Raw genomic sequence first — 14,247 nt, 5'->3', positions numbered from 1 at the left:
TCAGTTTGCCTGGGACCAAGGGGGTTCCCAAGATGTGGACTTTTAGTTTTTTGTTTGTTTGTTTTTGTTTTTTGAAACAGTCTTGCTCTGTCACCCAGGCTGGAGTGCAGTCATGGGATCTCGGCTCACTGCAATCTCTGCCTCCTGGATTTGAGAGATTCTTATGTCTCAGTCTCCCAATTAACTGGGTCTACAGGCACGCGCCACCACGCCTGGCTAATTTTTGTATTTTTAGTAGAGGCAGGGTTTAGCCATGTTGGCCAGGCTGCTCTGAAACTCCTGGGCTCGGGTGATCCACCCACCTTAGCCTCCCAAAGTGCTGAGTTTACAGGTGTGAGCCACCACTCCTGGCCTGGACTTTTAGTTTTTAAGCCAGTAAAGTCCTGGAAAAAAAAATAGGTAGGTCATCTTAGGACTTCTGGGACTTCGTCCTCGGTTCTCACCTCTCTCTTTTCCCATGGTCTTCCCAGAGATTTCACTGACTCCACAGCTTTCACCAACTTTTGATGCATAATTCCCCAACAGACCCTCACCTCTGGCTGCTCCTGAGCACCAGGCCAGCATTTCAACCATCAGGCTTTATTGTCATTTACACAGCTAACCTCAAATCCCATGGGTTCTAAATGAGTCACCCTCTCACGCCTCCACCCCACCAACCCTGCTCCCACTCATCTTCCCTGTATTTCCGCATTTGTCAATGCCACAGCATTGTTTCAGTTGTTCAAGATTTGTAATATTGACTCATATTCATTGAATACCTCCTCTGTGCCAGGTTCCTAGGTGCTGGGGACTCAGCAGTGAGCAAGAGTCATGGAGCCCTCACGGAACTTGCATTTTAGTCAAGAGAGACAGAAAAAAAAAAAAAAAAAATATATATATATATAGAGAGAGAGAGAGAGAGAGAGAGAGAGAGAGAGAGAGAGACAGAGAGAGAGTTAAGTACTGTGGAGCAACATTATTTTTCAAAAATTTTTATGGCCAAGTGCAGTGGCTCACATCTATAATCCCAGCACTTTGGGAGGCTGAGGCGGGTGGATCACTTGAGGTCAGGAGTTCGAGACCAGCCTGGCCAACATGGTGAAACCCCATCTCTATTAAAAATACAAAAATTAGCCAGGTGTGGTGGCACACACCTGTAATCCCAGCTACTCGGGAGGCTGAGGCAGGAGAATTGCTTGAACCCAGGAGCTGGAGATTGCAGCGAGCTGAGATCGCGCCACCGTACTCCAGCCTGCGCAAAAAAGCGACACGCCGCTCAAAAAAGAAAAAAAAAATATTTCCTTAAAGTTTCTTTTTTGAGACAGGCTCTTGTTCTGTCACCCAGGCTGGAATAGATGGTGTGATCTCAGTTCACTGCAGTCTCTGCCTTTGGGCCTCAAGGCTGGACTTGAACTCCTGAGTTCAGGTGACCCACCTGCATGGAGCTACCAAAGTGCTAGAATTAATTTTTGCCCAGCCCGGGGAAAAATTAATAAGCAAATACAAGGAATGCTTAGGGTGGGGGATGCAATAATAGATGGGGAATGAAGGGAATCCTTTTGATGTGAGGCAGAGGTCTGAGGAAGTGAAAACATGAGCCAGGGACCTCTGGAGTAAGAGTGTCCCAAGCAGAGGGCACAGTAAATGCAAAGACCAATGTAGCTGGGCAGACCAGGCCAGGGAAAGAATGATGAGAAATAAATCAGGGATAAAACAGGGGTGGGGGAAAATCAGTTTCTGTAGGGCCTTGTAGATAAAAGCATTTTATTTTCACTCATTTACCCTTTAATTTGTTGCCAAACCACAATGATCCCACCTCTCTCTTTCCCATTTCTGCAGCTACCACCTTGAGACAATCCTTCCTACTTACCATTTGAATTATTATATTGGCTTCCTGAGGGGTATTTTTGCCCCTTGTCTCTCCCTACTCTAATCCTACTCATGGTTGCTATAATCTTCTTGGAGCACAGTTCTGATCATCATCATCATAAGATCATTAGCATACATTTATGTATCTCTGAATAAAAATATACTTCGAAAGGAGGGGGACGGACACAGGAGATATGTTCCCACAACTTCCCAGCATGTCCTTGTCAGAAATAGATAAAACTGTCAAAAGTATGTTGTCAAACACGTCAGAGTTCTGTTTTTATGCCATAATGTAACAATTGAAAATTTTTCATCAAAATAAAAAATAAATAGAAAGATGAATTAGTCACAACTCCTTTAGTTGCCACTAACAGAAACTCAGTTCAAGTATCTTTCAGAAGGTGATATATGTTAGCCCACATAGATAGATATTTGACATCTTCAGGAATGGCTAGCTCCAGGTGCTCAGCAAGGGCAACAAGAAATCTATCTTTCTCTTGGATTTGCTTTTTATCTCTGTTGTCCTTACTCTCCAGCAGACTCTACTCATGCAGTGGTAAAGATGGCTTACATCCCCTCAGCTTTGCAACCCCAGTGGAGAAAGGGTGCCTCTTTCAGCAGAAGTCCTAATGCTGACTCTCATCGGCTCACTCTGGACAAAGGGATTACTCCTCAACCACTTATTATGACTGCAGTTAGTCGGTCCTGGGTCATACACCCACCCCTGGAGTCAGGGACTGAGGTCAACCTCACTTGAACTACATGGACAGAGAGTGGAAGATGGGTGGTTCCCAAAGGAACACTTCATATTCAGGATGGAGGAGGGATGGTGGGCAGGCAAAAACAAGTGTCCACAATCAAAGGCTAGGAGCACCATTTTTGGTGAGCCCTAACCCCAAACACCTCTAAGAACTCAATAGGCCTCCGCCCTCAAATAGTATTAGTCACGTTGTGCCTATAATTGATCATTTAAATGACTTTCTTGCCCCAACATCTTAAATGGCTCTCCATTGCTCCCTCTTTGCCAGTCAGCTCTCTTCCTTCTCTGAATCTACTTAGTTGCTTGACAACAGGGCCTGGGGATGGAAAGAGTCTTTATCTCTGAGAGCAGGCTTTCAATACGTTGCAGCTATTGTTTATAACGCCTGTGATCATAGGCACAGCCACATTATTATTATTATTATTATTTTTTGAGATGGGGGTCTGACTCTGTTGCCCAGGCTGGAGTGTCATGGCGCTCACGGCAACCTCTGTCTTCTGGGCTCAAGTGATCCTCCCTCCTCAGCCTTCAGAGTAGCTGGAACCACAGGCAAACATCACTGCACCCAGCTAATTTTTTGTATTTTTCGTAGAGATGGGGTTTCACCATGTTGCCCAGGATGGTCTCAAACTCCTGGGCTCAGGTGATCCTCCTGCCTCGGCCTCTCAAAGTGCTGGGATTACAGGCATAAGCCACCGCGCCTGGCCACAGCTGTCCCCCCAAATATTTCAAGTAGGCATCTACTGAGACTTAATACCCACACAACAACCTTATGAAAAAGTAGGCTTTATGTATGGGGAAGGTGAGGCACAGACATGTTGACTACCTTGCCTACTGTTTTTTTTCACACAACCAAAATATGGAGGCTCTGGGATTTGAACCCAGGGCTCTCCGACTCCTAAGTCCCGTTAGGAACCTGCACATTATTCCATTTCTATGAAGGGGAGGGAAAGAGCTCCTCACTTAAGTATACCAACAGTTCTCAAATCACTTGAAACTCACCAGCAGCCATGACCGTCCCCCCAGGGGAAGTAGGTAGCCAGATTTCACCTCATTCTACTTCTTTACCAGACAGAAAAATGGAGCAGAACCCAAACTGGTGGCTTGATAAGGGAACACTCAGAAAAGTAAAGGAAGTGGTGGTGCTGAAGCACCCTGCTGCCTCTTACCTCAAAGATCCTTCCACCAAACAAATACCACCCACCTTCGAAAACAGTCGTTGTGGTTGGAACAATGTCTGCATAAAAATAACCGGGCTTATCTTACTCAATCTTGCTTCCCTTCCTTGTCGGGAAAATGTCTGCCCTTCTGGTCTAGTCGGTGCAAGAGAGGCTTCCTGCCCGGTGTCCAGCACTGAGGGGGTGTCGCAGCTATGGTCAGCCTCCCTCTGCGGCCCCTGAAGCAAGCAGAGAGCGCCTCAGACCTCGTGTTGGGACCTGAGCGCGCAGCCCGGCTCCCAGGCCCCCAGAGGGCGGGTTCCTGGCTCCGCTCAGAGGCCTTTCAAGCCCCATTAGCCTCCAGCTCAGAGGCCCCTGGGCCCACCTACACTCTGGCCCCTGATGGGCTCGGATGACAACTCAAAACCCACATCCTGAGGGAATTCTGATGAAACCTTTGAAGGCTCCATGTCTTGGGGAAGACCAGGTGGGCGTGAAAGTCGGTCTCAGCGGAGACGCCCAGGGGCGCGTGGGCCCTAGAAAGGCCCGGCTGTCCCGAGCACGGCCTGGAGTGAAGCAGCTGGTGGAGAACACGGGCGCAGGTGTGAGCCTGGTGAAAGCGTGGGCTGCTCAGTGCTCTGTAGAGAGCAGCTGCAAACAGTGAGGAGGAGGCTCATGGTCTGGGCCCTCGCAGGGATGGGCAAGGCATGGCCCTAATGAATCTGGCTCCAAGCACACCCCCTCTAGCTTAAGCTTGGGGACTGGGAAAGGAGGAGGCCCAGGGGGCAGAGCTGAGAGGACATCTCAGGAGTTAGGGTTACCAAGCAACTGAAGAAGACGTAGGAGCAGCTCCTAGCTGAGTATGCCCGGGGTGCAGCACCGAGAATGCCTGGCGGGGAGGGTTGGGAGGGAGGGCTTGCCTTGCCCAGTCATACTTGGAACTTAGATCCTTGGATTTTAATGCTCTTGTGGAAGACATGAGACAAGATCTTGGACCGAGGAGGTGAACATCTGTTGCATTTTATCCAGTATATTCCTGTCTTATAGTGAGAGACTATTTAAGAATATTAAGTTCCCCATATTGATGTAAAGAGAAGTCCGAATGGACTCTTTAAAAAATTTTAAATGTATGTTAAACTTTCCATCATGGAACATTTTACCCACCGCCCTCCCTCCCCATCACCTGGATTATTTTGAAGCAAAATCCAGTCATCGAATCATTTCGCCCATACATAGTCCAGTCAGTATCTCTAAATTTTAGAGCTGTTATTCTCAGCCCAGGACAGTTTTGCCCCCTAGGGGACATTTGGCAATATGTGGAGACCTTTTTTTGTTTTTACAACGTTGGGGGGAGGGGGTGTGCACCCAGCATCTAGCTACTGGAAGACAGGGTAGAAACAGGGCTGCTACGAAACATTCTGCAATGCACAGGCCAGCGCCTCACGACAAAGAACTACATGGCTCAAAATAACAATTGTGACAAGGTCGAAAACCATGTTTTAGAGTCTAAAAGAGAAGAACACTCTAAATACATCACTACAATATTGTTAGCATTCATAAAAACAATAATTCCTTAATATAGAATATCTGATTAATATTAAAATTTCCCCGATTATCTTGTACATTTAAAAAATTTGGGGTTTAAATCAAGATCCAAATAAGACTCATACATTGCAATTGGTTGATATATTTCTTTTTGTTTTTTTCCTGCATCCAATCATCCATTATAGTTGATATATTTCTTAGGTCTTCTTGAATCTACAGGTTCCCATCCCTCTTTTTTCCTTTTATTTATTATAAAACAGATTTATTTTTAATTACAAAAGAGTACACGACTACATTCCTGACATCAAACTTGAAACATACAGGTAAAGCAAACATTTCCTACCTATGACAGTCCAATCCCAGTCCTCTCCCCAAAGAACTCATTTATCAAAATTGTGTGTGTATTGGTTAAGATTATATTCAACTGGCCGGGCACACTGGCTCACGCCTGTAATCCCAGCACTTTGGGAGGCCGAGGTAGGTGGATTACCTGAGGTCAGGAGTTCGAGACCAGCCTGACCAATATGGTGAAACTGCGTCTCCACTAAAAATACAAAATAGCCGGGCGTGGTGGCGCATGCCTGTAATCCCAGCTACTGGGGAGGCTGAGACAGGAGAATTGCTTGAACCTAGGAGGTGGAGGTTGCAGTGAGCCGAGATTGCACACTGCACTTCAGCCTGGGTGACAGAGCGAGACTCCATCTCAAAAAAAAAAAATTATATTCAACTACATGTTTCAAAAAACATAATAATAACAAAAGCTTTAATTTTATTTATTTTTCAGAAAGATAAGCCAAGGAATAGGCAGTCCAGGGCTAATATGGCACCTCCATGAAGTTTTTAGGGTCCCAAGTTTCTTCTAGCTCCCTGCCCTACCATCTGTGAATGTGGCCCCCATCCTCATGTAGCACAATGGCTAATGGAGAACCATCCCTCTTATCTATATTAGGACTAGGTAGCAAGATGGAAAAGTGGAAGGGTGTATCTCTCTGTATTAGTTTGCTAGGGCTGCTGTGACAAAGGACCACAAATTGAGCAGCTCATACCACAAAAATTTACTTATTGTCTCACAATTCTCACAATTCTGCAGGCTAGAAGTCCAACATCAATGTATCAGGCAGGATTGGTTCCTTCTGAGAACTGTAAGGAAAATTCCGTCCCATGCCTCTCCCCTAGCTGCTCGTGATTGGCTGGAAATCTTTGAGTTTCCTTACCTTGTGGAAGCATCACCCCAATCTCTGCCTCGGTCGTCACATGGCATTCTCCCTGTGTGTGTGTTTCTGTGTCCAATTTTCCCCTTTATATAAGGACATATTTATATTGGATTAGGGCCCACCCTCATGACCTCATTTTAACTAATTACATTTGCGAGTGCCCTATTCCAAATAAGGTCACATGCTGAGGTACGAGGGATTAGGACTTTTATATATAAATTTTGGGGAGAGACAATTTAACCCACAACACTCTCCCATAAAGAGACTTTGTAGAAGTCTCTTACGCTTCTTTGTTTATACTTCTTTCGTCAAAACTTAGTCTTATGGCCACAGTTCGCTGCAAGAGATGCTGGGGAAGGGAAGCTTTCACTGAGCACATGACCATCCCCGCAAAAGGCGGTTTTTTGTTACCAAAAAGGAAGGAAAAATGGACAGGGCAACTACCAGCAATCTGCCATGGAATGTATCCTACCAGACATTTTTCTGTATGTTGCACATAATCAAATGACCACAAACTGGGTGGCCTAAAATACCAGAAATTGATTCTCTCACAGTTTTGGAGCCAGAACTCCAAAATCAAGGTGTTGTTGGGGCCACACTCCTTCCAATGCCTCTAGTGGACGATCCTCCCTGGCCTCTCCAGCTTCTGGTGGCTTCTTTGTTCCTTGGCCTGTGGCTGCATCACTTCAGCCTCTGCCTCCATGTTCACATGGACTTCCCCTCTGGGCCTTCTCCTCTTCTGTCTGTCTGTTTTTGAGACTGGGTCTCGCTCTGTCGCCCAGGCTGGAGTGCAGTGGTGTGAACACTGTTCACCTCAGCTTCGACCTCTGAAGCTCAAGCGATTCTCCCATCTCAGCTTTCTGAGTATCTGGGGCCACAGGTGCGTGCCACTGTGCCTGGCTAATTCTTTGTAGAGATGGGGTCTCACCGTGTTGCCTGGGCTGGTCTCAAGCGATCCTCCCACCTTGGCCTTCCAAACTGCTGAGATTACATGCGTGAGCCACTGCACCAGACCCTTTTCTGTCTCTTATAAAAACACTTGTCATGGCTGGGCATGGTGGCTCACGCCTCTAATCCCAGCATTTTGGGAGGCCGAGGCGGGTGGATCACCTGAGGTCAGGATTTCAAGACCAGCCTGACCAACATGGAGAAACCCCATCTCTACTAAAAATACAAAATTAGCCAGGTGTGGTGGCACATGCCTTTAATCCCAGCTATTCAGGAGGCTGAGGCAGGAGAATTGCTTGAACCCTGGAGGCGGAGGTTGCGGTGAGCCAAGATCACGACATTGCACTCCAGCTTGGGCAACAAGAGTGAAACACTGTCTAAAAAAAAAAAAACAAAACCAAAAAACCCCAAAAAACACAAAAACACTTGTCATTGGATTTAGGGCCCACCCAGGTAATCCAGGATCATCTCATTTTAAGATCTTTTATTTTTACATCTGCCAAGACCTTTTTTGCTTCATTTTTCTCACACCCAATCACATCCTGGACCCATCCATGAGTTCCAGGATGCGACCATATCCTTTAGGGTGAGGGGACCATTCAATGTCCTACACCCTCCCTGGAGCAGCAGATATTTCCAGGAATAGCAAAATATGGCTCTCCACATTGTCCTTGTTCATTTTAATTAGCAATGGCAGAGGAAGGGGACTGTAGTAAAACTTTAATGAAATGCTACACACTCTGGGAAGCGTAAGTGGATCTGGTTGCCTAGGGTCTGTTTAAAGTCAGAGAAACTCGGAAGGTTCTGCTAAGTGTTGGCATGTGGGTGCCAAGCTATTTTTGGTAGAATGGTAAACTATGCTAGCATGTTTTTCGATGTTTACCATGCATTTTAGAGAGGTTTCCTGCTAAATGAATTTTCAATTGAGAGCCAGCTCAGGAGTGGGCACAGAAAGATGGAAGGGTAAGAGAAACATTTCCAATGTACCAAGGTATGAGTTGCAGGGCCTCACTTCTTACTTAAAGAGCAAAATGTTGGCTAGGGGTAGTGGTGGAAAGTTCCTGATGCCAGATTTTTGAGGTGAGAGAAAGAAATAGTATCAGCCCTGTACCTGCCACTCTGTTCTTCATCTGCTTCAATTTCAGTTTCAGTATTTACTGAGACCATACTGGGCGCCAGGAAAGACTTATTTTCCTCAAGCCTCACAAGCAGCTAGGTGTTATTACTTTGTCCACTTTCCAGATGAGATGCTGTGATTCCGAGAGGTTAAGGCACTTGCGCCCATGATCATGTAGCTGTAAGTGGCTAAAGCAGAAGTTCTGAATGTTTTCTGACTGCTAACTTGGTGCTCTCTCTACCACAGCATGAGAGATGAACATTCCTTTCTGCTTACGGGTGCCTATCCTGGTAAGGGGGTAGAGAGAGGAGCAGGCTCATCTCCTACCCACCAGGGCTTGCTCCTTCCTCCCATTTGAAAGCAGAACAGGCTGCGGCAGGAGGCATGCAATTGGTGTTTCTGCCGGTCTCCAATCCTAGTGGAAGAAACTGCCTAATTAAAGTCTGCAGCATGCCCAGAAGCTTCCGGGGTTGTTTTCCGTGCAATCCCAGAGCCTGATGATACATATTCTTCATGTTTATGTGGCGGGATACACTGTGCTCCATGAACATGAAGTATTAGTGAGCCAATTTCACCATCTACGCAGCTACAGAGCAACCGGAAGGCATCCCTGTTTTAATTTATGAGGGACCAGCATGCGCAATCAATAGGTGCCCCACAGGTTATTAAAGAGGAGAAAGATGGCTCAGGCAGCCCTGTTTACTAACAGGGAAATGGTCTTCTGGCAGCTTCTGGCTTGCAATGCATTTACATTTCCTTTTCAGGCCAGAAACAGTGGTGTTCCCTTTTCATCTCAGCCCCGAGCCTGAGAACAGGGGGCTGGTGGAGGCTCAGGCAGAATCTGAAAGTGCCCTTCCCTGCACTGTAATCTCAGAGAGAGGATGGGGTGGGGAGTCAGCCCAAAGATTTGTGAAGTCCCTTTGTGTTTTGAGGCCCTGGAGAACAATAGCTTTCCAGGATGGGGGTTGGGATGTAGGGGATGGGAGTGGGTGACTGGGTGTGAGAACAACGAAGCAAAAAGGAATAGGCAACTCCTACCAGGCTGGCTGGAGGGGGAGTGGTCTTTGGTCGGCCTGCCAGTCTCTGGAGAAGTCCTTTTATTCACTGCTTTTGCTTTCTCTTTGTTTTGGGTCCTTTGATTTCAGGAAGCTATGGTTCTTTTGCAGTCTACTTTTTAATAATTCTGGAGGAAGAGGGTAGATTGGATTTTAAAATAAAACAGTAACAGCACTGGGTTATTTAAGTAGAAAGGAAAAAAGTACTTCCCTTCAGTCCACGTTCTGCAGGGCAAGATGGGGTAATACAGCAGTTCTCAAATTTTTTTGTCTCAGGACCCTTGTATATACTCTTAAAATGTATGTAGGTTAGTGGCAGAAAATTTAAAATATTTGTCAATTTTAAGATCACAATAATAAACCCATTACATGTTAATATACATATTTCTATTTAAATTAAATTAAATTAATTAATTTTAGCACAGTGAACTAGATTTAATTTAAAAAAAAAACAGGTAAACTGATTTCTTTTTAAAGAAAGAAAGGCCGGGCTCGGTGGCTCATGCCTGTAATCCCAGCACTTTGGGAGGCCGAGGCGGGCGGATCACGAGGTCAGGAGATCGAGACCATCCTGGCTAACACGGTGAAACCCTGTCTCTACTAAAAATACAAAAAATTAGCTGGGCATGGTGGTGGGCGCCTGTAGCCCCAGCTACTCGGGAGCCTGAGGCAGGAGAAAGGCGTGAACCTGGGAGGCGGAGCTTGCAGTGAGCCGAGATCGCGCCACTCCACTCCAGCCTGGGCGACAGAGCGAGACGCCTTCTCAAAAAAAAAAAAAAAAAAAAAAAAAGAAAGAAAGAAAATCTCTGGTCAGTTAAGGTCACTTCAGCTGCTTTTTAAAGTCGCTTTTTTTGGAATGATGGAAGTTGTCGCCAGGGGGCCCGGCTGTGGTGGGCCTGTGCCCATAGATGGTGGACTTGGAGAAGGAGACCCGCAGGTGGTGGTTCTCCCAGATGTCGTGGTTGTGTAGGGCAATGGGGGTCTGGACCGCCTCCTCCACGGAGCGCATTTGGATCAGCGCCATCTTGCGGTTCTTCTGGAAGAACTTGAATCCTATGACTATGCCCCCATGGCTGGAGGAGAGGACCTTGAGATCTTCCTCGGATACTGAGGGCGGGATGTTGGAGAGGTGCACGGTGGCCGAGGGCGGGAATATGTTCTGGAAGTTCTTGAAGCCTGGCTTCTTGAAGCGGTGCAGGGGCGAGTTGCCATAGTCCTTGGTCAGGCCCTGGTCCTCCCGGCCCTCGCGGGGCAGCTGCACGTTCTGGTGCTTCAAGGGCGTGATACGGATGAGATGCGGATGGGCTTCCCGTGCAGCTTGTGCCAGTTCAGGTGGCTCATGGCCAGCTGGGCCTGGTTGCCGTCCGCCATCTGAACCAGAGCGTTCTCCTTCTTATTGAACGGGATCTTCACGCGCTGCACGTCCCCGTAGACGCTGAAAAGAATAAAGAGGCTTTGGGGGCTGGGCGCGGTGGCTCACGCTTTTAATCCCAGGACTTTGGGAGGCTGAGGCAGGCGGATCACGAGGTCAGGAGTTCGAGACCAGCCTGACCAACATGGTGAAACCCCGTCTCTACTAAAAATACAAAAATTAGTCGGGCGTGGTGGCGCGGTTGTAATCCCAGCTACTCGGGAGGCTGAGGCAGCAGAATCACTTGAACCCCGGAGGGAGAGGTTGCAATGAGCCGAGATCACACTCCAGCCTGGGCAACAGAGCAAGACTCCGTCTAAAACAAACAAACAAACAAAAACAGAGGCTTTGGGGTGTGACTCTCTCTGGGTTGAGGCCGCTGACCAGCAAGACAGAATTTCCTGTCCCCGCCAGGCCCAGGATGGCGATCTGGCCTGCCGCTGCAGCTGCCGCCACCGCCGAGGGGATGGCCGGGGGGCCAGGGCTCCGTGGATGTTGGGAACTGAAAGGTCGAAGGCCACGGCCATGTCTGGTCCAGCGAGGGCTAGCTGTCCCCGGAGGGCAGGTCCGGGCGTGGTAGTCGCGGCTCTTGTCGTTGTTGTACTTTACGTTGAGGCTGATGAGCTTGGAGAAGTCGATGCACAGCGTGTGGCAGGCGTTGTAGGTGTTCTGCCAATCCAGCGACAGCTTGGTATGCTGGGCGTTCTCGGGGTCCGTGTACTGCAGCAGGGCCTGGAACTGGTTGTCCTTGATGAATGTGATGGTCTTCACTGTGCCGAACTTGGAGAAAATCTGGTGCAGCACATCCAGGGTCGTGGGGTAGAAGAGGTTCTCCACGATGATCCTGAGCACCAGGCTCTGCCCGGCCATCGCCATCCCTGCGTCTACGGCTGCCGCCGGGGCAGTCCAGGCCAGGTTCCCCGACTGGACCGAGTTCACGGCCTGAGGGCTGCCGGGTCCCGCGCCTGGTTGGGAGAGCTGTCGGTCTTCAGCCCCTTGTGGTTGGAGAACTGGATGTAGATGGGCTGGCCGCGCAGCACGGGCGTCACCGAGGTGTAGTAATTCACCATGGTGTTGGCAGCCTCCTCCGTGCTCATCTTGATGAAGGCCTGGTTTTTCCCCTTCAGCATCAGGAGGTTAGTAACCTTCCCAAAGGGCAGCTCCAGGGAGATCACCTCCCCTTCGATGACGTCGATGGGAGCTTCTGGATGTGGGTCACTCTGGAGGGGACACCGGCGCTTCTGCTGTCACCTTTGAACTTCTTGCTGCCATGTCCATTTGCTGCAGAGGCCGAGTTGCTGCTCATGATAAATGGTCTGTTAGTGACACAAGCAGAGAAAAGCTCGTCAGATCCCCGCTTTGTACCAACTGCTATATCTGGGACAATGCCGTCCATGGCACACACAGCAGACCCGTGGGGGATGGAGTGGAGGCACCAGAATATTTTATTATTTATTTATTTATTTATTTATTTTTGAGACGGAGTCTCGCTCTGTTGCCCAGGCTGGAGTGCAGTGGCACGATCTTGGCTCACTGCAACCTCTGTCTCCTGGGTTCAAGCGATTCTCCTGCCTCAGCCTCCTGAGTAGCTGGGATTACAAGCGCATGCCCAGCTATTTTTTGTATTTTTAGTAGAGACGGGGTTTCTCCACGTTGGCCAGGGTGGTCTCGAACTCCTGACCTCAGGTGATTTGCCCGCCTTAGCCTCCCAAAGTGCTGGAATTACAGGCATGGGCCACCGTGCCCGGCCCAAATTTCTATTTTTAAAAATCATATCTTCCAAACAAAATTTTCAGCAAGAAAAGTGAGATTATTTTACATTTTTGAAAAATGGCATTGTTTTGCATTGTGAAATATTTTGAAATTTTTAAAATGTGTGCATAACGGAAGATGAATGGATTCTCAAATATTTACTTTTGCATTCAGTATATTGCAATATGTTGGTTTGGTCAAAATGTGTGAAGAAAATCCAGCTTCACACAGATATGTAGCTGGAAAAGGGAAGAGTATTTAATAGTCCTCTTAGATAATTGTGGATATTCTTTTTTGGTACTACACCAAAACAGGTGTCTTAAAGGTTAGTTGCAATGTGAAGTCTGAAATTATGTCAATGAACTTTTCGTGTTCTGTTACATTAAAATCCATTGGTTTGTTGTGTACTTAGAATGGATCTTTTACCCATGCATGATTTTGTAATACAGTGCATTCAATGGTCATTGGAAAATATTTGTCTTTGAATTATGCAGGTATTTCAAATGTTGACACATTTTATTATACCATATCAGAAAAAAATCACGGTCATTAATATCACCAATCTATTTCCTTAAAAAAACCTTATGTATTGAGAAGCTGTCGAGCTCCACAGTGGTAAACAAAAGTTTTTCCAAATTCTAATTTTTGCTTGGAAGCTCAAATTTTATCATCAGCAACAAATACTATCAGTTGTTTTCCTTGAAGTGACAGGCTCCCTTTGTTCATTTTTAAGAAAATGTCTGCCAAATGCTTAGTCTGAAATAGCATTCTTTGTCATTTGTTCTTTCAAGAAAAAAGAAAAAAAGATGCTCCATGAAAAAAAGTGGTTTGTTCAACTCACAACTCAAATAATCGCCTAAGTGTTTTTCCTAGAGATAACTATCATAGTTTGGAACACAGCAAAAGTACTTTATGCATACTTCTCATTTTGTTACACAGTGGCTCAGTCTGTTGTGTGTTTCCATAACAGAATATCACTGACTGGGTAATTTATAAAGAAAAGAAATGTATTTTTTACAGTTCTGGAGGCTGAGAAGTTAAGGGGCCCGCCTCTGGGGAGGGCCTCCTTGTTCTGTCATCCCATGGCAGAAGGCAGAAGGGCGAGAGAGCTGCATGTGCAAGAGGAGAAAGGAGGCCGAGTTCCTCCTTTTTATCAGCAACACACTCCTGCGATAATGACATTAATCCGTTGATGAGGGCAGAGCCCTCATGACCATAATCACCTCTGAAAAGTCCCACTTCTCAACACTGTTGCAATGGGGATTAAGTTTCCAACACAAGAACTTTAGGGGACATACTGAAACCATAGCACACAGATTATTTTGAAAATTGTCAATATTTAATAGAATTAATTTTGACTGCTTCACCAAAGACACTCTCTCTCTTTTTTTTTTTTTTTTTTTTTTTTAAGTAGAGGCAGGGTCTCAGACTCCTGGCCTC

General features: G+C 46.8%; 1 pseudogene, besides 3 other annotated features; it reads right to left on the bottom strand.

Moving 5' to 3' along the window:
• Positions 4,085–4,324: an enhancer, noted in NCBI's record as "active region_8552". NCBI's record gives its function as "activates an Ori minimal core promoter by ATAC-STARR-seq in GM12878 lymphoblastoid cells {active_cell/tissue: GM12878}" and the evidence as "EXISTENCE:reporter gene assay evidence [ECO:0000049][PMID:35858748]".
• Positions 9,244–9,812: an enhancer, noted in NCBI's record as "NANOG-H3K27ac hESC enhancer chr14:65748624-65749192 (GRCh37/hg19 assembly coordinates)". NCBI's record gives its function as "activates a minimal SCP1, AML or CMV promoter by ChIP-STARR-seq in naive H9 embryonic stem cells {active_cell/tissue: H9 hESC(naive)}" and the evidence as "EXISTENCE:reporter gene assay evidence [ECO:0000049][PMID:30033119]".
• Positions 9,722–9,791: an enhancer, noted in NCBI's record as "active region_8551". NCBI's record gives its function as "activates an Ori minimal core promoter by ATAC-STARR-seq in GM12878 lymphoblastoid cells {active_cell/tissue: GM12878}" and the evidence as "EXISTENCE:reporter gene assay evidence [ECO:0000049][PMID:35858748]".
• On the bottom strand, positions 10,063–12,497 carry PTBP1P (polypyrimidine tract binding protein 1 pseudogene; annotated as a pseudogene).

The sequence above is a fragment of the Homo sapiens genome, chromosome 14 (assembly GCF_000001405.40).
Source record: "Homo sapiens chromosome 14, GRCh38.p14 Primary Assembly".
Taxonomy (NCBI): Eukaryota; Metazoa; Chordata; class Mammalia; order Primates; family Hominidae; genus Homo; species Homo sapiens.
This window is presented reverse-complemented; position numbering and strand designations above follow the sequence as displayed.